This window comes from Homo sapiens, chromosome 8 (genome assembly GCF_000001405.40).
Source record: "Homo sapiens chromosome 8, GRCh38.p14 Primary Assembly".
Classification (NCBI taxonomy): domain Eukaryota; kingdom Metazoa; phylum Chordata; class Mammalia; order Primates; family Hominidae; genus Homo; species Homo sapiens.
In genome coordinates this window covers 104413212-104437676 of record NC_000008.11, presented here as the reverse complement: position 1 = coordinate 104437676, position 24465 = coordinate 104413212, and the positions used below count along the sequence as shown (strand labels likewise).

General features: G+C 39.6%; 1 protein-coding gene and 1 long non-coding RNA gene across 10 annotated transcripts in view, besides 1 other annotated feature; one reads left to right on the top strand and one right to left on the bottom strand.

Annotated features, from left to right (window-relative positions):
- The window catches only part of DPYS (dihydropyrimidinase), an 87625-nt gene that overhangs the window by 29379 nt on the left and 33781 nt on the right, over nucleotides 1–24465 (top strand). For 4 of the 9 annotated variants that reach the window (XM_006716518.4, XM_005250818.4, XM_047421415.1 and 1 more), the window contains 4 exons: nucleotides 7976–8132; nucleotides 9556–9697; nucleotides 13288–13430; nucleotides 13621–13728. In XM_006716518.4, the coding sequence (XP_006716581.1) occupies nucleotides 7976–8132; nucleotides 9556–9697; nucleotides 13288–13430; nucleotides 13621–13728 (550 nt within the window). Of the gene's footprint in view, nucleotides 1–7975; nucleotides 8133–9555; nucleotides 9698–13287; nucleotides 13431–13620; nucleotides 13729–18624; nucleotides 22682–24465 lie in introns of those variants that run through there. The other 5 variants (XM_047421418.1, NM_001385.3, XM_047421416.1 and 2 more) reach the window with 3 other exon arrangements.
- On the bottom strand, nucleotides 6382–9379 carry LOC105375692 (uncharacterized). Its single transcript, XR_001746027.2, has 2 exons — nucleotides 8953–9379; nucleotides 6382–8273 (listed from the first exon to the last, which is right to left on the bottom strand). It is a non-coding gene; the product is annotated as an uncharacterized LOC105375692 (long non-coding RNA).
- Nucleotides 10140–10331: a silencer, noted in NCBI's record as "fragment chr8:105439574-105439765 (GRCh37/hg19 assembly coordinates)". NCBI's record gives its function as "represses an EF-1alpha promoter that drives an FKBP-Casp9 reporter gene in an ReSE screen in K562 erythroleukemia cells {active_cell/tissue: K562}" and the evidence as "EXISTENCE:reporter gene assay evidence [ECO:0000049][PMID:32094911]".

Genomic DNA, 24465 nt, shown 5'->3' with positions numbered 1-24465 from the left:
AGAGCAGCCCCAGGGGCTGCTGATTGGGTATTTCTATGGTTAATTTTTGAATATCTGCTAAATAAGGGGTGGATTATTCATGAGTTTTTCAGGAAAGGGGCAGGGAATTCCTGGAACTGAGAGTTCCTCATTTTTTTAGGCCATATTGTGTAATTTCCAGATGTTGGCATGGCATTTATAAACTGTCATAGCATTGGTGGGAGAGTCTTTTAGCTAATATATTTTAGCTAATACATTATAATTAGTATATAATGAGCAGTGAGGATGACCAGAGGTCACTCTAGTTGTCATTTTGGTTTTGGTGGGTTTTGGCCAGCTTCTTTACCACATCCTGTTTCTGCAGCCCAGGAGATTTCAGCCTCATTTTACCCAGCCCCTCTTCAAGATGGAGTTGCTCTGGTTGGAACACCTCTGACAAGGCTATATTTAGTAGTAGGCCTTTTAAAAATTCACCTGCATGTTCAGAGGGCTTTATCAATCTGACGACTGAGCTTTGATTCTGAAAATGTTTCTTCTGTATTTTCCTCCATATTCATGTCCTCTGTTTTCTTTTCCTGGGACTCCATCATAATCCTCCATGTCTTTTAACTATTTTCACCTTTTTAAAAAGATATTTGAATTTTTGCTATACATTTTAGGAAATATTTTTGTTTACTTTTTCCTGCCCTTCTAATAAACTTGTGTCTTGGTAATCACACCTCTATTTCCAAGAAAACGTTCTTGTTCTCTAAGCGCTCTTTTTTTCCATGGTTCCGTATTCTTTTTAATGTTTTTCTTTCAATAGATGCATTACTTTCTTTTTAAAAATAATTTGGTACTTTATTTGTTTTTTTATTTATTTTTATATAAAGACATAGTCTTACTATGTTGCCCAGCCTGGTCTCGAACTCCTGGGCTCAAGTGATCCTTCTGCCTCAGCTGCCCAAAGTATTGGGATTACAGGCATGAACCATTGGGCTCAGCTTATCTTCTTAATTTAAGAGTACTAATGAAGATTTTTTTTTAATTCTCTTCTGTTTCCTGGGTTACTCTGTTTCTTTCTAGTTCAATTTTTCAGGGTTTTGTTTTGTTTTGTTTTAGATGGAGTCTCACTCTGTTGCCTAGGCTGGCACAATCTCGGCTCACTGCAACCTTCTTCTCCCAGGTTCAAGTGATTCTCCTGCCTCAGCCTCCCAAGTAGCTGGGATTACAGGTGCCCACCACCATGCCCAGCTAATTTTTGTATTTTTAGTAGAGACAGGGTTTCGCCATGTTGGCCAGGCTGGTCTTGAACTCCTGACCTCAGGTGATCCGCCCACCTCTGCCTCCCACAGTGCTGGGATTATAGGCATGAGCCACTGTGCCTGGCCAATTTTTCAGTTTTTAAAACTCCTGGTCTTCTTTTTTGTGTGTGCGTGTGCTGTTTGTGTTTTCTTCAAAAGTCTGGTGATCCTTGGCTGTCCGTATGTTGACGGGACAGTTCAGTTGGTCAGTGTGGGAACGGGCATGGATTTCCTCTTCCACCAAGCGTGTCTGTTTCCTGAACTTGCTGTGTGAATGCACATGGGGCATAGTCACTGGACAGCTTCAGTTTAAGGTGCAGGGACCTCAATCTAGCATCAACACCACCTAAGAAGCTTTATTTCCCAGCAGAGGTAAGGGTGAGTGTTGACAGACCCAGACCTCCTCTTCCCCTCCCCTTCACTGCCCTTTCTGCCCCAGGAGGAAAGCTCTTCATGACTCCCTCTACTCCTTCAGGTTAGGCTGTCACTCCCCCTAACTTTTCTTTATGAATTATTGCCATCCCATCTGCTTTCCACATTCCTAAAATCTACCAAAACCCCGGTCAGCCATGATCCTTCTTTCAACCCCAGTACAGCTCTGGATTCTTTCCCTTTTGTCTGTCTTCACCAGGATTTTTTTGTGAACTGGGAAAGAAGAGGTGGGCAATATTCAGTGCATCCAAAGCCTGAGATTTCTTTTTGCTCATGCTTGATATTTTCTTTTAGCATTCTGCAATAAAAAGTGAAAAGCAGGTTACAGAAATAAGAAAACTTTCAAGTCCAAGCCATCAAAAGTGGTGTCACCTTTGACAGTTTGCAAAGAATGCCCATTTCATGCTTAAGTATTTTTTCATCCAAGTTGAGTAACTATTAGGCTGGTGCAAAAGTAATTGTGGTTTTTGCCATTACTTTCAATGGGAAAAACCACAGTTACTTTTGCACCAGCCTAATAAAACTAGATTAGTTCTCATCCACCCTTCTTGTGAGAAGACACTTTTGCAGAGATGAGGCAAGGGAATCCGGCATTTCTCCCTAAAGCGTTATCCTTTTCTTCCAGAAGCAGAGTTTGTCTCCCTTGCTCCATAGCCCAAGTGTGAAGTTGAACAAACAAGTTGTCATTGTGTTTCATGTGGACAGTCCAGTCTGCCAGCCCCTGACTTCTATCACCCACTTCAGTCCAGTTTTTGTCCGAAGAATGTATGTGTCAATGTGTGTCATTGGCTTCAGTGACCCTTTTTAAATTTTGGTCTGAGTAGCTATACATGTTCTTTTTCTGCCACAGTGTTGGCATATGGGATCATTAATGGCTTTTTAGGAAATGCATTGTTCACTTCACCTTTGTACTTCCCAGTAGAACCTGTAGGCTCATGAATTCACTACCTTTCTGTGATTTGTTTAGAATGGTGACAATTTCTCAAAGCAATTTAACTTGATGCCCTAATTGCTATGTATCTGGCGTTGTTTCTCATTTATGACTGAAATTGTCAATGCACTGCTTTGCTGTTGTTTTGGTTTACAGTTAAACTTGTTTTAGCTTGTCTTAATAAAGTTTACGTCTATTTTAAATCCATGTTCCTTTCTTTAGGGTAAAAATATGATGCTCATTTGAACGTAACAAATATTTTCCTTATATTTTTCATAAACAACAAAGTTCTTGGATGCCAAGCGCATGCTAGGTACTGTGCTCTAGGCATTAGATTTGCTAAGATGATTAAGACAATTTCAGATCTCAAGCAGCTCACAGTAAACTGGGCTAGATTGTGGTTGTTTAATGTGTTTGTATATTTGATTGTTGTTTATTTGATTTGATTTCGTTTGGTTTTGGTTTTGCTTATAGTTTTACTTAATAGGCATATCTTTGTAAAATAAAAAGTTCTCTTGCAGAGAGGTGTAAACCAAAAATAAAATTCTAAGGCCCCTTAACCATCTGAATGGACCCCTCCTCTCAGTCAGGGCATTCCAAAGTTAACCCGAAAATCTGTTTCAGGCCATGCGGGGAAGGGAGGGTTGGACATGCCTCATTATGTCCTCCTCCCTTTTGGAATTCAGGAAAGGCTGACCAGCATTTAACATCAACACAGACCTTAAGTCTAATAAAAACCATTTACAATTTATTCTCTCTGAAGCCTGCTACCTGGAGGCTTCATCTGCATGATAAAACTTTGGTCTCCACCGCCCCTTATCATAATCCAAACATTTCTTTCTATCGATAATAACTTTTTCAACCAATTGCCAATCAGAAAATTTGACATCTACCTATAACCAGGAAGCCCCCACTTTGAGCTGTCCTGCCTTTCTGTCCAGAACAATGTATAGCTTACATGTATTTGATTGATGTCTTGTATCTCCCTAAAATGTATAAAACTAGACTGTGCCCCAACCACCTTGGGCACATGTTCTCAAGATCTCCTGAGGGCTGTGTCATAGGCCATTGGTTACTCATATTTGCCTTAGAATGAATCTCTTCAAATATTTTACAGAGTTTGACTCTTTTTGTCAACAGAGGCTTTGGAATTCCTATTTTCCATTTTATGTAAACTCTGTCTCCCATATATTCCTCTTGTGTTTTAAAAGATGCGGAGAAAAATCTACACAGTGGCCCCTCTCTTCCCAAGTAGTCACGCTGAGTGCTGCTTGGCAATGTTGAACAAGAATACACCAAATTTCATTTACTCATGTGCAATGAACTGATGCTTAGGCACTAGTGCTGTAGGAAGAATCGATGTGCAACTGAGTCAAGGTGATTTTGAGTCTCAAGTTTCCTTTCTTCTCTTTTTTTTGGAAAAAGAGTCGCGTTCTGTTGCCCAGGCTGGAGTTCAGTGGCATGACCTTGGCTCACTGCACCCTCTACCTTTTGGGTTCAAGTGATTCTCATGCCTCAGCCTCCCAAGTAGCTGGGACTACAGGTGTGCACTGTCATACCTGGATAATTTTTTGTATTTTTAGTAGAGATGGGGTTTCACCATGTTAGCCAGGCTGCCTTTCTTCTTTCTTGCATATGAACATCAGAACACTCCATTGTCCTTTAAATTTAGAACAAGATAATTTACATTATATCCAATTGCATAGCAGTTAAAAGCTAGCCATTAAAAAAATAGAATCGTGTGGCTATCAGGAAACTAACGTTTGTGGAGTGTATGAATTTTCTATGGCTGCCGTTGCAAAGTGCCACAGACTGGGCCGCTTAAACAACAGGAATTTATTTTCTCACAGTTCTGGAGTTTTTAAGTCCAAAACCAAGGTGACAACAGGGTTGAACAGGGTTGGCTCCTTCTGAGAGCTGTGGAGGAAGGATGTGTTCTAGGCTTTTCTTCTTGGCTTATAGATGGCCATCTTCTTCCTGTGTCTTCACGTTATCTTCCCCTCTATGTGTCCAAATTTCCTCTTCGTATAAGAACCACAGTGTTATTGAATTAGGGCCCACCCTAATGACCTCACTTTAAATTCACTACCTCCATAAAGATCCTTTTTCCAAATACAGTTACATTCTGAGGTACCAGGGTTAGAACTTCAACATGTGGATTTGGGCAGAGGACACAATTCAGCCCATAACATGAAATGTCTCCAGGGTCCCAGGAAGATTCTGGGTACTTTCATAAACATTAATTTATTTGACTTTCACAAAATTGCCACACTAGAGGGACACTATGATCCCATTTCACAGATGAGAAAAACAGACTAAGAACAATGACTTACCTTGTACAATGTCACCAGCTAAAAAGTAGCAAAAGCAGGATTTGAACCTAAATCTGTATGATCCATTCTACCAAGCTGCTTCTATGTATTTGCCTTCTCAATTCTTTTCTTCCTTTGTAAATGTAATGTTTTGAATCAAAATAAAGTCCAGGAAAGTTTGGCTGTATCCTTTTGGCTAGGAAGATTTATTTCTATGAATATGTTTGGCCTCCTATTTAGTGGCCAGGGCTTTTGGTCCTGGATGCCTATGCTTTTTCTGTGCATCTTTCAACCTTCTCTAGCAGATCTCAGGACTCAATATTTAGCGTTGCTTGCAGATCCAGACAAGGTGTTAACATCTGCTCTATCACCGTCATCTAATAAATGGGTTGTCTGGTCAGTGGAGAGTTTGGATTGGTTTGATCTGCTTCATTACTGGGAAATCTTGAGTATCTCTCAAAGGGTAAAACTCCTTTAAGTGGGAGATTGCATCATAAAGGGCAGAATCTTTTGTTTGTTTGGGTTTGAGCCAAAAAATGGAGAAATAAGGAGAGAACATCTATGGGTAGAGACGATACAACCTAATGTGAAGCTTGCTAAGACAGTGGGAGGAGATTAATGATGAAGATGTTCCTTTCTCCTAAGAGTTGTTGAAACCCTCCAGTTGTGAATGTAATCAGGATAGTACCAGGCTGAAGACAGATAGAGCACTCTTCATTGCCAACCAGCTAAGTGTAGTAAATGAAACCAGTAAATGAAATTGGAAAAATGCTCAGCCACATCCACAAACAGCCTGTGGTTGACTTAAACATTTAGAAATACATGCTCTTTCCCAAGTAATAAAAAATGGCACTTTTCCTAGTAACATAGTGCATATGATATGATATTATAATACTATGACTGTAATTCTGGCTGTACAACTTAGTGCCAGTGTGTGTTGAGCACATTAGTCTCATTGAACATCAATTTTTTCATCTGTCAAACCAGCATGAAGGCGGCTATGAAGGTCAAATGAGATTGTATTTGGGAGCCTTGCAAACTATAGAATGGTATGCATGTGTTAGCTATTTTTATTGTTATTTTATTTTTAGCCCAAATCTAACACAACCCATAATTATGCTGAATTATCCAGTTTGATTATCCAATTTATGGATTATCCAGGCCTCCTGTTTTCCTTCCCCTTTTTAGTTCTTGCATGCTTTTTAGTCCTTTGAAAATGCCTTAGAAATAGTGAAATAGGAAATAGAATATGCAGTTAGGAATTTTTACTTTTTAAATTTTATTTTGGATATTAACAGATACTAGATGGGGAGAAAGTTGAAAATAGCCCAGTTAACGAAGAGTTTGTTGTATATACCACTAAAGTGGCCTGTCACATTTTAAAGGAGCTAAGCCCTTCCAAGGAAATTACCTGTCATCTGGTTTCAAAACAGTCCTGGCAGACTCCCGGTAGATGCTGACACTTTTAATTTTTCCTGAGTGCTGTTAAAATTGCAGAACTTTTGGAACCATATTCCCGTATCACCTTGATGGGCCAAGTGATTGAATAGAACATGTGATAAGGATCTTTCCTCAATGATAAAGCACCATGGAAAATCCTCAGTCAGCGACTTGTAAAGTGATTGCAGATCAAGTCTCTGAGTTTTCATTGTCCAAGCATCTGTAAGACGTTCCCTTGGAATAGGAAGGTCTCTTCATACTTGCAAATAAAATATCGTGTCCATCTTCCCAGTTCTCCAGTAGATAGTACATTACCTCTTCATTCACTAAAAACGATTGGGCATATTCTATATTTAGAAAGAGTTGCTAATGGTGTTTCTCCTTTTCTGGGGATAGGGCAGTAAGAATCCGAATGGAGATGGGATTCATCCAGTAGGGTATGTCACGGAAGCAAAGTAACTTAGCCATGGCTAAGTCCCTGGGGGATAACTTTTATTGATACTTGGTTACTTAAGAATTGAAGTTCTTAGGCTTCAATAAGCCTTGCTTTCATGGTTTTTCAAATTCCTAAGCTAGCTAGTGGAAGATGGCTAGTTTGAAGAAGGATCTATGAAATAATAGGGTGCTGTGTTCCAATTTGATATGACTCAGGCAACTGGCGGCCATCTACTGTCAGTACTCTCTGAGGAAATCGTTAATTTCAGTTATATATCAGGATTTTAACTAAAACTCAGCATCTGATGAACCAGAGTGAACTAATTTGGTATGCCAGCATCTCTCTACTGTGCACTCTCCTTAATGATTGCCTGAATTTGATCAGGTTGATGCCAACAAACCTATTATTCTGACAAATGCTAATCAGAGATAGGATTCTGATTTTAATTTCAAATTCACTGTGCACTATTAACTTTTCTAACATTGTACGCTTTTTTTTTTGATGGCCTCATTTGCATGATTTTTAAAATACGCATTTCTGGCTAAGACTTTATTATCTGAGTGTTCTTTCATTTAATACACGTTTTTTGAGGAGTTCTTTTTTTCAAGGGCATGAAAAGATTATCAATTGATTTGCAGCAGAGATATGCTGTGGTTGAATTCCATATGACCTAACTAATAATTATCTGTCATCAGGGTAGTAAAGCATAAAAGTTAGAACCACTGGAGTCAAATTCTGGGTTCAAATTCTACCTTCTCCACACCACATAGACTGTATGTAATGTAAATGTAGAGAAATTATTACTCCATAGCTTTATTTTCATCTTTTTATGGAGATAACAATAGCATTTATCTGGTAGGGTTTTGGAGAAGGTTTCATTAGAATGGCTCTTGTACCAGCCAGCTTTTTCTAGGTTATATGGCCATAAAAATGGATCTAAAATATGAATAGCTTATACTTACAGAAGTTTATTTCTCATTCATATTTATGTTCATCATGGATTTTTAAATCCTGTCCACAAAAGTAAATTATAGTTTGGGATTCTGCTAAACTGTAGATATTACCCTCTGCTAGGGGAGAAAAGATTAATATTTATGTGTTTGTCATATGGTCCTCTTAAGAATAAAATTAAAGTGATGAATGCTTCTTTTAATCTTTCCAGGGAAGGTGGTCTATGGTGAACCCATAGCAGCCAGTCTTGGCACAGATGGCACTCACTACTGGAATAAAGAATGGCACCATGCAGCCCACCATGTCATGGGTCCACCTTTGCGACCAGACCCCTCAACACCCGACTTCCTCATGAATCTGTTGGCTAAGTAATCATTTTGCAGATGACTGGGAAGTGTATTGCCAAAAGAAGGTTTGGGTAGAAGGGAGCTCGTCCTCCCATCTGGATCCTCCACTAACCTCCCAGTATTCTCTTCTACTTGACCTGTCAGGTCCTGGGTACCCCTCACCTGCAGAGCAAAAAACATTGACTTAATTATGCTGTGATATGTTGTCAAAGCCTTTCCTAGACTCTCAGAAATCAGATCGTTTTCACTGAAACTTTACTCTTTTCTGACTTTTTTCATCTCTTGTTGCCCAAACCCAGGGCTCTTCATTACACCTTACTTTTTATCAGAATATTGTTGAATTTTTTTCTATGCTGATATAATATGGGAACTAGGTTAACCCTGTTACTTTCTGGGAACATATGATCATTTTTCTTGAAAATTCTACCATTCTTGGGCCAGATGCAGTGGCTCATGCTTGTAATCCCAGCACTTTGGGAGGCTGAGGTGGGCGGATCACATGAGGCCAGGAGTTTGAGACAAGCCTGGTGAACATGGCAAATCCCCATCTCTACTAAAAATACAAAAATTGGCTGGGCGTGGTGGCTTATGCCTGTAATCCCAGTTACTCGGGAGGCTGAGGCACGAGAATCACTTGAACCCAGGAGGCAGAGGTTGCAGTGAGCAGAGATAGTGCCACTGCACTCCAACCTGAGTGACAGAGCAAGACTCTGTCTCGAAAAAAAAAAGAAAAGAGAAAAGAAAATTCTATCCTTCATGGACATCCCGACACTCCCCATTCACAGATACTCAGTCTCAAGCTAAGAGTTTTTCATGACAGACCGTACAAGAGTTCACTTACCCATTCTTTTCAGCTTCCTTCCTCCTTCATGATTCAGCATCCCCAAGATTACTCACAAGTCAAAGCAGGATTCCTGTCCCTGGTAATATCAGCATCGCCAGCCAGTCTCACCCTCTGTTCATCCCAGTGTGGCCGTGTGGCTAGGGACTGCCCCGGAGGGCCTGCCCTCCATTCATGAGGATCACCATGGTGATGTCTTTGTGGATGCAGCATTCTGCTCACAAGGAGTTTTCTCTCACATATTTGCTGGTGATTCTGAAGTTATCTTCATCAAGTACATGTGACTATTCATTTCTAGATGAGAAATGGAGTCTCGGACAAGCTCATATCACAGAGCTAGTTAAGTGATGGAGCTGAGCTTAGAACTCAGGTTTCCTAACCCATCTTGGATCATGCTTCCGATCAGTGTGTCCTCTGAAAGTGCTTCCTAGAATAGAGACAGGAGAGGGATGAAATATGTTCTTGAAAAAACTGCTCATTCTCCATTGGATTTTTCTGACTTCAATTGAGAAGGGAGCCAGGAGATTAGGAAAGGTTATGGCAGTTTCCTCCTAACATATTCTGTATACTCACCCCATCACTCTCGTGTTTTTTCTTTTACAGTGATGATCTAACCACAACAGGGACTGATAACTGCACTTTCAACACCTGCCAGAAAGCTCTTGGGAAGGATGATTTTACCAAGATCCCCAATGGGGTGAATGGTGTTGAAGATCGGATGTCCGTAATATGGGAAAAAGGCGTGGTGGGTTTCACAGGTTCCAGCCTTGCTTTGCCTAGTTCTTCAGCCAGGATCCTGCCCATTTGAGGACCAGAGTGGCACAAATTTTCATAGAGAAGCTTTTTGATTGTTTTTACTAGGGAGGATACTAGGAATGCAATACTATCACCTCGACCACCATTCCATCCCTCAGTATAGCATCAGCAAAGAAATAATCTTCTCTGCATAGTTTATTTTAGTTTAGACGATGCATCGCACTATTTTGCGGAGACATTAGAGGATGAATTAAGATTGCATACAAAGAGGGTTATTCTTCAATTCTCTGAAATGGCATAGCCCTTCTGCTTGATTTCTCATGCTCTTGAATTCCAGTGCGTCATGTGTCATTGGCACGAATGCTTGAAATGATAAAAAATACACGAAGGGGCAGGGTGCAGTGGCTCACACCTGTAATCCCAGCACTTTGGGAGGCCAAGGCAGGTGGATCACTTGAGGTCAGGAGTTCAAGACCAACCTGGCTAACATGGTGAAACCCCATCTCTACTAAAAATACAAAAGTTAGCCGGGCATGGTGGCACGTGGCTGTAATCCCAGCTACTCAGGAGGCTGAGGCAGGAGAATTGCTTGAACTTGTGAGGCAGAGGTTGTGGTGAGTCAAGATGGCACCATTGCACTCTAGCCTGGGGCAACACAGTGAGACTCCATCACAAAAAAAAAAAAATACACGAAGCGTATTCGTTATGCTCATACCTCCTTTCCATGAAATCTTTGTTGATGTCAGTTCTTTTTTTTTTTTTTTTTTTGAGACGGAGTCTCACTCTGTTGCCCGGACTGGAGTGCAGTGGTGCAATCTTGGCTCACTGCAACCTCCACCTCCTGGGTTCAAGTGATTCTCCTGCCTCAGCCTCCCAAGTAGCTGGGATTACAGATGTGCACCACCATGACTGGCAAATTTTTGTATTTTTAATAGAGAGGGGGTTTCACCATGTTGGCCAGGCTGGTTTCAAACTCCTGACCTCAGGTGATCCACCCGCCTTCGCCTCCCGAAGTGTTGGGATTGACAGGCGTGAGCCACCGTGCCCAGCCTGATGTCACTTCTTAAAGAATCCTTGGATATCATGTTTTTAAAATTGCTATATGAAGTCACAAAAGTAATAATTTAAAGTCTGGAAAAAAATTTAAATGTCCATGACTACAAAACTTCTCCCTGAGGACGGAGAAGAATCACATGACTAAATGTCTATGTGTTAACTTGTCCAGCCAGTTGACATGTGGAGCTGTGAAGACTAGCAGAGGGGACTTGCCTGGTTAGACTTCTGGTCCCCAGTGTCATGCCCTTTTCACCCATCTCCTAGGATGCCTCCCTCAAATGACACATTAATTATATCTCACACTTCAGAATCCTCTTCAATTGCTTTTACCCTACACATACCACCTACTTCTAACTCTAATGAATTATTCACCAAGTCTTGTCAATTTTGTTTCCAAAGGGCCTCCTTATTTCTTTCTTCGTTGCTACCATTCTAGTTGGAGGCTCATATTTTGTTTGGACCTTTGCAGTAATCTCACAGCTGGTCCCCATCTCCAGAGTCTCACTTGCTACAGTGTATTCTTTACTCCAGTACAAGAACTCTTGTTCTGTACTGAGAACAGCTGACAATGCTTTTATTATTATTTTTACAATATTATAGAGGGAGGATAGGTTTTGAATGGGAGTTCTCATTTAGAAATAAAGTTCTGTTTGTGCTATTGTTCTCTCAAAAACCCTTTACTTGCCTCCATTACTTATTGGATGATAGTTGAATCATTAACTTACAATTAGATCTTCAAAACATCTCTATAGCCTCATCTTCTGCTGATTATTTTCCTCACCCCCCTTCCTCCACCCTAACTCTAACCATCCCAGATGACTTCTCTTCACTTAGATTTTCTTGATAAAAGTTCAAGCTTCCACTTGAACTTCTGTTTTACAATGAATATCTTTATTATAGCAGATTTTCATAATCTATATAGTTCCCTGGTATATAAATGGCTTTACAGTGACTGAATAGTTCTTAATAATATATAGAAAACCATGTCATTTTATGAAACATTAATATGGTTTACTTATGGGAATATTACTTTCAGGGCATGGTTCTTAGTCATTTTTAAGGCAAGCATTGTTTGATAATTAAATAAACCTTTAGTACCCTCTTACCATATAAATAGGGATAAACCCCTAACACTTTCCAATTTTATTTTAGAGGAGCCACACCCCTCTGAATTCTGTCCACATTAAAATCTCTTGCAATAGACTATCCATAATTGTTGGTTCATGTAAAACTTCAATTGCATAAAATTGAACCTCTTGAGTTGTTTTTTTATCTTTTCAAAAGGATTGCATCTGGGTGTGGTGGCTTATGCCTGTAATCCTAACACTTTGGGGAGGCTAAGGCAGGTGGATTGCCTCGGCCTCCCGAAGTGTTAGGATTACAGTTCCAGACCAGCCTGGGCAACATGGTGAAACCCCATCTCTATAAAAAATTAGCCAGGCATGGTGGGGCATACCCCACCATGTAGTCCCAGCTATTAGGTTGGTGCAAAAGTAATTGCAGTTTTTGCCATTAAAAGTGATGGCAAAACAGATTGCTTTCGCACCAACCTAATGCTTGGGAGGCAGAGTGGGGAGGATCACCTGAGCCAAGGGAGGTTAAAGCTGCAGTGAGCCATGATCACACCACTGCACTCCAGCCTGGGCAACAGAGTGAGACCATATCTCGAAACAAAAAATTTAAAAAAAGCATTGTCACCTGATTCAAAAGTGTTGTCACCTATCCTCTATAATATTCTTTTAAAAATAATAAAAGCATTGCCAGCTGATTTAAAAATGTTGTCAGCTGGGTGCAGTGGCTCACGCCTGTAATCCCAACACTTTGGGAGGCCAAGGAGGGTGGATCACCTGAGGTCAGGAGTTGGAGACCAGCCTGGCCAACATGGTGAAACCCCGTCTCTACTAAATACAGAAAATTAGCCAGGTGTGGTGGTGCATGCCTGTAATCCCAGTTACTTACTTGGGAGGCTGAGGCAGGAGAATCGCTTGAACCTGGGAGATGGAGGTTGCAGTGAGCCAAGATCGCACCACTGCACTCCAGCCTGGGCAACGAGAGTGAAATTCCATCTCAAAAAAAAAAAAAAAAAGTGTTGTCACCTATTCTCACTCTATAATATTCTATCTAATGTCTACATGATTATCTCATAAATCTTAGGTCTGTAATAAATAAGTCAGATCATAAATGTGGTATTGTCAAACTTTAAAGGAGAATCGAAAATACCATTACCAAAATTTAGCTGTCACCTATAACAATTTTTGTGATTCTAGGATGAATGGGAAGAATTAGTGTGGATGCTAAGTAGTGGGGTTTCTGAAAAGTCATCTTCAGGCTTCCATATGTTACCCCATCATCTCCATCATTGGCATTATGACTGTTTAATACTTACCAGCATCCTCAGATGCTCTACAATATAAGAAATTAGGTGCAGTTCTGTTTGTTTAAGAGATGCAAGTCTTGTCATTTTATCGATAGGATACTTTTTAGTATTTGATCATTAGAATGATTCTTTGAATTGCTTTACAGCATAGTGGTAAAATGGATGAAAACAGATTTGTGGCAGTTACCAGCACAAATGCAGCCAAAATTTTTAATCTCTATCCAAGAAAAGGAAGAATAGCTGTAGGATCAGATGCTGACATTGTTATTTGGGACCCAAAAGGCACAAGGTAAGTCTAAGTTCTTGTATTCCTTGGCTTCATTGTGGAGAAAATGCACTAACTTGCACAGAAATAATGCTTTGGCATTAATCAGCCGCTTCTCCTTAGATGACTTCTTTAGCTGTGCTCAGGTATTTTGATCCTGTACACAAGATAAAGGTTTTGATGTGCAAATATTCCTTTGTTTTTCTTGGCATAGAGGATGTAGAAGTTGTGTTGCATTCTCTGACAATGGATCTGTATATAAAACCAATATGAATTTACCACTTCAGTGCCTGGCAAATGCCCGAGTTCACATGGAAGAAAGGTAAAGCGTGATGAAGGAAATAAAAGGCTTAGTTTGAAAAGGGTTGAATTGAAAACTCAAAATAATTACAGCCTTTTTAAAGCTTTCAGATAGAAAAATTCCAGCACAAAGGATGTCACTTTCAGTTAGCCAAATTTTCCAGTTGAGTTCATCTTCAGCCTATCATTCCTAGTAGATTCCAGCTTTTTGTTTCCAATTTCCATAATTCTATGTTAATATTGCAAGTCTGGCAAATTCCACCAACTCAGGAAAGCAGTCAATAGAGACTGGAGCTCTGTTATTGTCTCCTTATAGGACGTTAGTACAGGCAACACCTGCAGCCTGATTTGTGTTTTTCATAAATTTTGCAGTCGTAGTGGAGAAAATCCCATTAAATGCTTTAATAATCTGTATGTATGTGCACTTGCGTGGACTTCTGCCTCCTCGTACAGGCATTTGTTCAAAGTCTGTTAGGGTTTTTATTGTAGTAAGAAAAAGTCTACGGTTTCTTGGGCTAATATTGTCACAAAGGCCCAGCTTCAATTGAAGTGCTCCTGGGTTACCTTTGGGAAAACGATGATCATTTGAAACACTAAGGTACCATCACTATAAGCCTAAAAACAAGCCCCAGATATTCCTATAGGAAATCCTTGTTTTTTTCCACTTGACACTCTCTGGGCACCCACTGTTCCCACTCAGGGACCAGTTCACATGGTTGGCAGGCCGTAGTCATAGCAAGCAAGCAGCCTTCAGTTAAACACTTCAGCATATCACCTCATCACTGGTTAAGATCCATGCAATGCCATAAAGGGTGGTATACACATCTTACTCACATAAGTATCTTAAGATAACAACAAGACATGGTTCAAGGTCTTTCTTATGTTAATAAGGAACTATTGCCCATTTAAGGACTAAATATCTGGTTGCATACAAAATAATTACATGCAAAATGAAGACAAGTAAAACCAAATGTAGGCAGCTTCTCTACAAAGCTAGAAAAATTGTGCTTGGAAAGGCAATGGAAAAAAAATTGCTTGGATTTTGCTTGTTCTGTGGCTGAATTGAGCATGCTGTGTTTAGAGAACTCCTGATATTTAAAATATCACTCTACAGCGGGCTGCTGTACACCCAGCAGGGGCCTGCCCAGGGCCATCTTGGCTGTAATTCAAACAATTTAGGCTGCTTCAAGGGCTGGGACCAGGCAGACCTTTTGAAATAACTTGTGGCTTAAGGAGATTGTGAGCTTTAATCTGAAATCCTAGAAATTTTCAAAAGGGAGAAAACTATTCTGTAAAGAAATATTTCTGAAAAATGGTGTTTTTGAAGCATAACATCAGGGAGCATCATACTAATGTTAATCATCAGTAATAATCTGTACGTCACAGCTCTCGTGGGTTTTTAAAATGTTTTGGTGCCTTAAATGTAATTTTACCAGGAAAGACAAATATTGATTACCTTATGACAATGAGAAAACGGTAGCTGTACAACCGTGTAAGTGACAGGTTTGCTATGAGAACCCTGACCTAGTGACTTTGACTTCATAAATTCAGATGTTTCTTCATGAGATTCAGTACCAGGCTGTCTGATAGCAAAGCAGAGCACTTTATAATTTTCTTGATTTTTCATATTCCATGTTGTCTTCCAATCAGGTGGGCCAATAACTAAAAGCATTTTTGGATTTGATTTCATTCTCTGTCATTCTTTATCAAAGGTGAGGGAAAAAATGAAAATACTTTATTGTGTGGTGAGACTCTTCAGTCTAATTCTTAATAATATGGAGAATCTCAGGAGGCCATTTGATGTGCTTCTTCTTTTGAATCCTACACCTGAGTATCTCCAACAGGGCCCAGCCTGGGGAGCCCTCGTCTGCCGTTTTAATTTCTAGGGATGACACCAGCTCAGGGGTAGAGCATTGTCTTCCCTAGACAACTGGACAAAGAGAGATGACCTGAACCTAAGGTTGTGAATAATTCACTTGCTTTATTTACCACATATTGCTGCTTGGAGGATATTTATAGGCTGTGATTATGTCTCTTTGAGTCACGTTTTAGACTATATAAATTTAGACCACTTTCTCACAAGTTTTGCTACTGATTTCTATAACATTGTCTTGCCCTTCCTTTCCTATTCAGTTGTTTCAGAATAGCACATAAAGATCCAGATGTGTAGATTTTTTTTAAAAGATCTATATATATTACCTGCTTAATTTCCCTCATTTCTAGTCTAAGAATAACTAACTTAAGGTCAAACTAAAAAGCTCCTATGTTTTTACATTTCTTTCTATTGCTTTCTCTCATAAGTTCTTTCACATTTCTTTTTTGTTTGTTTGTTTGTTTGAGACGGAGTCTCGCTTTGTCGCCCAGGCTGGAGTGCAGTGGTGTGATCTCGGCTCACTGCAAGCTCCGCCTCCCAGGTTCACGCCATTCTCCTGCCTCAGCCTCCCTAGTAGCTGGGACTACAGGCGGCCGCCACTACGCCCGGCTAATTTTTTTGTATTTTTTGTAGAGATGGGGTTTCACCGTGTTAGCCAGGATGATCTCGGTCTCCTGACCTCGTGATCCGCCCGTCTCGGCCTCCCAAAGTGCTGGGATTACAGGCATGAGCCACCGCGCCCAGCTGTTTTGCATTTTTGTATGATTTCCATCCTTCACTTTATGAAGGACATTATTTATCACATTAATGATCAAATATATTTATCACAATAATGATAATAGAAAATTAAATATTTACATTTTTGTATGTGTGTCTTTTGGGAGAAAGATACATATTCTGCATTATCTTACTAGTATGAAGCCTTCTTTATCTATGTCTGCTGATTGTGTACACCTCGGTGCCAGACATAAGGAAAACCAGCATAGGCCCCAGAGCCTGATGTGTAAGTTCTGGTCCCAGATCCATCGAAGGCCATTTAAAGTCTCTGAAAATCCACTCTTTCATATGTAAAATGTGATCATTAAGAATTGTTATGCCTACCTCATAAAGTTTTGGTTAGAATCACATGAGATACATGTGAAAATGCTTTGTCAACTAAGAACGTGTTACACAAAGACAAGATATGTATTATTATGGTTATTTTCTATTTCTCTAGTTTGACTAGTTTCATTCTTTGCAGGACATTTTCATTTTTAGATGTTCTTAGCTATTTTGCCTGTGGTGATCAGAAGGCAGATGAACCATGGGGTTCTATTTCTCTGACTCTAGATCCTTTTAAAAAGCTGGTGACCTTTTTGTCTTTCTTTTCTTGTTTTATCGTTTTTTTTTTTTTTTTTGAAAAGTGGAAAAATATTCTCAGGGTATATTGAATTGATTGAGCCTCCCTTGGATTTCTTTGACTTATTTGACTTACTCTATATCTTGCTTCTTTACTCCTCTAATTTAACATTTTCCTCTAAACCATCATCAGAATGTTTTTGCACTATCATTATTCATTTTTTTCAGTTACAGAATGTGGGAAAAAGGAGAGAAGGGGGCTGTTGAAGAGGAGGCTTCATAGAATAATGAATCTGGAAGAATTCAAGGAGAAAGCGTGTTTGTTGTGGTTCACGTTAAAAGAGAGAGATCGTTGCAGAAACTGTATGCTGAGCCCTTGTCTGGGTCGATCACAGCACCAGCTTTCTCTATTCTTGGCCTGGTTGTTATGAGAAAGTTGCTCATCTGGGCTGGCTGTTCCCGACCAAAATTTATGCTGATGACCTCAACTAGGACCTTTCTGAAGTGCAATAATATTTTTAGCCTTTTCTAACTGTCCATGAATCATCCATAGCTTTCCACTGTCCTTAGACACTACCCCTACCATCGTCACTGTCTGCCTCTTCTCACCTTGCAGCCCGAGTTCTACTGAATCCAGAAAACCCACTTACAATCCTGTACCACAATCTGTCTTCCTTTTCTTTCTCATTAATATTCTTGAGTCTAGTTCCATTTTTAAAAATAAATGTTTTATTTTAGAATATTTTAGATTTACAGAAAAGTTACAAAGATAGTACAAGACACTCCTATGTACCCCACAGCTGGTTGCCACTATTATTATCTTACATTAGTATGGTACACTTGTCACAATTAATGATCCAATATTGATATGCTATTATTAACTAGAATCCATGCTTTATCATATTTCCTTAGTTTTTGCCTGTTTTTTCCCTTCCGGGATTTAATATTACATTTAGTGGTCATGTGTCCTTAGGCTCCCCTGACTTGTGACAATTTCTCTGACTCTGTTTTTGATGACCATGACAGTTTTGAGGAATATCGATCAGGTATTTTGTAGAATGGCCTCTGTTGTGATTTTCCTGATGTTTTTCTAATTATAAGCTTCGGGTTGTGGGTTTGCGGGAGGAAGATCACAAAAGTAAAGAACCATTTTCATCAAAAGACATACGGTGAGCACGACTTACCACTACTGGTGTTGACCTGGATGAACTGGCTGAGGTCGTACTTGCCAAGTTTCTCCACCATACAGCTGTTTTCCCCACCCCTTTCCATGTTGTATTTTCTGGAAGGAAGTCACCATGTACAGCCCATACTTAAGGAGTGAGGAGTTATGCTCTCGATTTTTGTTTTAATTGATCCTATTTGACGTGGGCCAGTTCGGTTCAGCATAGAGAAGAAGCACAATAAATGTTGAACAGGTGAGTGAGAAGGATGCAGCCTTCCACACGGCATGGAAGATTGGCAGGACTAAGAAACAGCATAAAGGAAAATTAGAAAGATTTTATTCAGCACTGGCTATGGTGAGAGGAAAAGTAAGAATAGCATCTTCCCATTTCATGCTTTTTACTTACTGCATGTGATCAATACATGACTGTGTTAGAAGAATGAATGGATAAAGATGAATTTAAGTAGAAAAGATTTTCCAAGGAGAGGAGGAAGAACTGTCTCGCTGGTCTTATTTTCTTTAAGTGCCCCTTCATTTTTTAGGTTGGAGCAACGAGTTTGTTAAGCAGAGCTCTTAGAGAGATGAAATGAAGCCAAAAGAGTCACCTTTGTGTGTTCCTTCATTCACAAATTCACTCTGCACAGGAGCACCTCGGCAAGCCGCAGGCTGAGGGTCAAGCTTATACAACAGCCACACCCTGCCTTTAAGAAGCTGACAGTCTAGGAGAGGAGAGGAGATGTAAAGTCAAATATTCTCAGCCTAAGAAGGGATGGGTTAAGAATATCACACGAGAGGCAGAAACAAGATGCCTTAGAAATTCAAAGAAGAAAGATCATTGTGGAGTTAGAGCAGTCATCGACATGAAATCGTACGAGAGAGGTGAGTAGATAACGTGGCCCTGTGAGTCAAGACTAAACATGGAGGTGAGATAAACCAAGGCATTGACAGGGGGTTCTAGGAGGAAGCAGTTAAGGCTGGGGATTGCACTACAGAGAGAACAGCTTCAGGCTGTAGAAGGAAATGAGAAGGTGAAGAGGTTGTGGCTGTCTCCACTTTTAATTGTGTTTATCACAGACAGAGGCAATTTTAAATAGAGTTCACCTTGTAGAGAAGTGTTATTTAATCAAATGAATAAATGAATATATCTATACGGTTTTTTTTTCTTCTTGCAATGAAGGCCTCCCTTTTAAATTTTACGTGCCTGATTTTAACATTAAATGCAGGCTGGTAATGTGCAGGATTTTTGTCTCACACCATTAGATGTTGGCCCAAATTTTCCTACAAAATTTCCTTAAACAGTTTTAGCAAAAATAATTGCCCAGCCGTCTTGTTAGTATCTAACAGGAAAGCAACATGCATTGCACCCTAGATGCTGAAGGGGGCGCCCGCAGCCCGAGCACTGAGCTAGGCTGGCTCCAGCCAGGCCATTCGAGCTGCTGGTTATGCAAGAACAAGCCAGCCTCTGGAGAACGGATGCATTTGCTAAAGATTTTTGGCTTCATGGTACATAGATGTTTTCGTTTTTAAAATTCTTGTTACTTATTAATGGCATGTAGACGTAAGTATGCTTGCCACACAATCTGTAGCCTTAAAAATGGACCACGTTAAAGTTACCAGGGGAGACCAGTGGAAAGAAAAGCAGGGCAGCCATGCTTATTTTTTCCTTTTAAATCTGTAAAAAGTGAGATGATTCCAAGGTGAGGAATTTGACATATGGTGATGGATGGCGAGAGAGAATTGGGAGTGGGCGTAGTAGGGAAGGTTTGGACATCCTGATGAAAGATTACCTAAGACGTCACTAGCCTGTAAAAAGTTCCTGCAAAAATCAACTGCAATAGCTCTTCTGTGTCATTGCACAATAAAGAACAAACTGCATTTAGTGTAAAGGGAGCATTCACCTTTTTCGGAAATAAAGAGCCTGCTGTATTCAGCCTGACAGCTCATTGAACTGGTGTCTATTGCTTATGACGGAAGTATGTGTCCTACTGCTTCACTACTTGGGTCAAAGTTTCAAATTTAAGGACGTTTTCCATATCTGAATGTCTGACCCATTTCTGTAGAAGATCTTGGTACTTAGAGTCAGGAGAAGAAATCAGGAACATGCTTTTCATGTGATGTAAAGACAGAATCTTGTGGTGTCATGTGGTCAAGACAGAGATCAGCCAAATTGGCCAACTTGTTAAAAATCTTATTAGAGAGAGTGACATGTCAGTTACTTGCAAGCCCATAGCTGCAGCAGTAAGTCATGTTCTGGCAATTTAAAACCATCCTCGGAGCTTCAGTTCTTTGGTATTCATTAAATAGCACTTAGTTACTATGGTAACTGTCCCTTTTCAGTATTTATGAGCTACAGGATATCTCACAGAATCTCAAGCACACAAACACACAGCTAACACATTGTGTGTACTGGAACATTTAATGAAGACTTCTAGCTGGACCGTATTCTGCCGAGCAGACATATTTTCATTTATTATTTTTTAACTCAATTATGGCAGGCTTTGACCTTGAATACACCATTCTTGAAAGCATTGTGCCATCTTTCTTGCTTAATTTCCTTCCTTTTCTCATTGAAGATAGAGATAAATGAATTTAACTTTATATTCAGTGAAGAGTAATGGCTTGCGGCTTATGATGGTGCCCTTCTGGATTCTAGAGGGGGCCTTTTGTGTGAAATAAAGCGGGGGAAGAATGACTGTCATCCTTGGGTAGTAGGGATTGTAGGGCGTGGGGAGGGAGAAGAAAGGAGGAGTCAGGTACCCTTTGGCAAAGAGTGATGGTTATGGCTTATTAGGATAGCTACATCACCAGTGACTGTTTCACAGAAGCTATGAAGCATTTTCCCTTGAAGTTGCACATTGTGTATCCTCTGACTAATTTGTGCGTTATAATCCTCCTCCTCTTCCTCAAAGAAAGCGTGCACACACACACACACACACTCACATGCACATCAGCACAGCAGCCTGTGTTCCTGCTCATAACAGTTGATCGGCCTAAAGATGCTGCTTTTCATGCCTGTTTCTAAGAGTGTCTGTCACTAACGCGCCCGCCACTCCCCACACCCACAAGCATCCCAGTGTGCATTGTGTGGGTCTTGTCATGGGTGCATAAGTGGAAATGAATATGATTTATGCCATGATTTGTCACTGTGATGTCTTGTAACACAATATCAGGGCTGTACCATGGTGTCAGGGCTGCTGGCTGAGGTGGTTCAGGTTGTGCTTTTGCAAAGTTACAGGGGCACTCTTCACATCATAGTTACCACAGATATATGTGGATAGATAGGTAGCTAGATATAGATACAGGTAGTAACTATGCCAGTTTTCTAGCATATGATAGCAAAGCACCTTGAGGAACAAATATCTGTTGCTAATCCACACAAAATCAAACCTGCCATCTGGGCTATTGGGGGGGAGCAGTACCATAGAGTGAAGAGAAAGGCTTTGGTGATAAATTCCTAGTCTGCCACTTATGAGCTGGGTGTGACCTTGGGTATATCATTTAATTTTTCTGAATTTCAATTTTTTTATTTGCAAAATGGGCATGATGATGATATTTATTTCCTAGCTTTGTTGTGAGTTTTAAGGTAGCATCATAAGATGCTTGGAACATAGTTAGTGTTCAGTAGCAGTTGGCATGTAGTAGGTAGTCAGTTAGTGGTAATAGATAGTAGTAGTAGGTGGTCAGTTTGTGAAATGAGTGGGAGCTCTTATTAGCTATAGCTGTGAGTCAGAAATCTTTGTATAATGACTTAATTCAGACAGGACCAAAAGATACTATAATTATATTTCATATAAAAACTCTGTCTCCCAGGTTTCTTGCACACCTTTAATTTTCACCACTAAATTTCAGAATGACTAAAATTAAGAAGCTTGGATGGATTATTTTGGCTAAGATAGCCCGAGCCTCCAGAACTGACACCTTTTAAAAATTATTAGCAGTGAAACTGTTCAAACAAACCTCCTAAGATTCATTTTGTGGCCTTCAGAAGACATTTGCTTTAAAAAAAAAAAAAAGTCTGGGCTATGCATGAAAAAAAGCTAACATTGTTGATTACATATGCATACAATTTTAACCACTCTTTATTCCAAGTTGTTTATTTAAACATATTTTTATGCAACTGAACCTTTCAAGTGAACTAGAAATGATTTCTAGGGACTTTACTACTAATAACTGCATTTTCCCCCAAATTATAAAAGAAAAGCAGCTTAGAAATGAATCACAGTAACCCATTCTATCACTGATCATTTGGCTTGGCCAGAGTAAGCAGTTTATTTTCAGCATTAGCATTGGGCAAAAAATAAGCACCAAGCGAGGCTGTGTGAAAGGCATAGGCTTTCCTAACTAAGCACCTGCTGTATTTTTCTTCCTACCTGACATAGATTCTATGTTTTTATATCTTTGACATTTGCTTGTATTATTTACAACTGTATCCCTAGGTTTAAGCACAGCTCCAGGTATATATAGAAGCTCAATAGTCATTTGTTGAGTGAAGAAACCAGATACTAATGGACAAATGTGTGATTTAACATTTTTGTCTGAACTTTATCTGCCCATGGAACTGGTTCAAGAGCCGTGTTTTACATTCTTCCCCCCTTTGAATTAAAAAGAAGAGAATTCTCAGCACTTCTGTCTTCTTCCCCAAAGCAGTGCTTGACAAAGATGCATTCCAGAGACAGTGGCTAGTTAGTGTCACCAGACCTGTTCGTGAATGTGGTTTACACCAGGTCAGATCCTTCTGTGGGTCAAACAACACTGTTTTTTGGACTCAGACTCATCTCTAATTCTGGCCAGTTATTTTAAAATTATGGCCATCGGTTATGGAGGAAACAGAGGACAGAGTGAAAATGGCTGAAAAGAAATTTAATATCAGTATCTGAAAAGAATCCCAGGGTCCTTATATGCTTATTGTACAGCAAAGAACCTTGTCTTCCTATAAAGGCCTTAGAAGAAATCACCTATAAAAGTGGTCCCCTCCCTCTAGAAGACTACAGTGGAAGTCTATTTGGAGGCAGTGAGTAATTCAAGGAAGGGCCTGCATTTTAATGGCCTGACCAAAACACCAAAAAACTTAAGTTGATTTACTATTTTTTTTTTAAGAGCAGAGGTTCTCAAAGCATGGTTTCTGGACTAGCAACATCAACATCATCTGGGAATTTTTCAGAAATGCCAACTCTCAGACCCTACCCCAGAGCTGCTGCCTCAAAAACTCCTGTAGTTGGTTCCAGCAATCTAGGTTTTCCCAAGCCCTCCAGCGGCTTCTGATACACACTCAAGTTTGAGAAACACTGGTTTAGAGTCATAAAATTAGATAACACTTTGGAACTAAAAAAGTCCAATTAGCGCCCCCAAATGGAGTTCTCTATACCTTTGCTTGATTGCTGCTAGTTTCAGGGAACTTACTACCTAACCAAACAGTCCTTTTCTTTCTGGGATGCCTGTAATTATGAGGACATTCTTCTTCTGGTTGCATTAAAATTATCTCCTCTTAGACCTTCACATGTTTAGCCTTTGGAATTATGCAGAATATATCTACATTCTCATATGATAGTCCTTTCATTTATTCATTCAAATGTTTGAAGAAAGTTACTGGCTCCCAGTAAGCCTTCCCATCACCAGATATGGATTCCCAGGTTCTTCACCAGATCCTTAGGCCCATGAGTAGCAAAATCCCAATCACCTGACCTCTCCTGTATCCACCCTTCTCTTGACACACACTTGTCCATGTCCTGCAAACATGTGAGTCCCAGAACTAGACATGTTCCTGCCTGTAATACCATCAGAGCAGGAATATCTGAGGCTGATTAGTTTTATAATTAAATGCAGAACTTTGCAATTTTTTAAAATAACATTTTCCTTGAATACACCTTGTACATCCAAAACAGTAATTGTGAGCAATTGCATGAGGTTTGAATATCTTACCACATTTATTCAGTGAGTAATTAAAAAACTTATATTGGGTCTTCTCTGATGTTTATGTTAAAATGACTAGGATTATAGTAAATGGCTGGTTTCTGTGTTTTAAGTCTCTTTGAGTAGACAGTAACTTACAACGTCCATAATTTTTTTAAAAAGTACAATATTTAATATAAACAAAAGGTACAAAGAGTACTATAGCTAACACTTGTGTATTAACCTTCCCAGGCCTGTCTCCTTCCTCATCTCAACAACTACCCAATTTGGTGTTTATCATTTCCATGCATTTCTTTCTATTTACTATATATATATAGGTGCATTTCTAAGGCATGACTATATATTTACATAATATATATTATATATAATTTTTGTGTATTCTTAGCTTCATATGAATTGTACTATATGTATTGTGCAACTTTCTCAACATTATAATTGTTAGATTTATCTATGTTGAAATGTGGTTTTTTTAT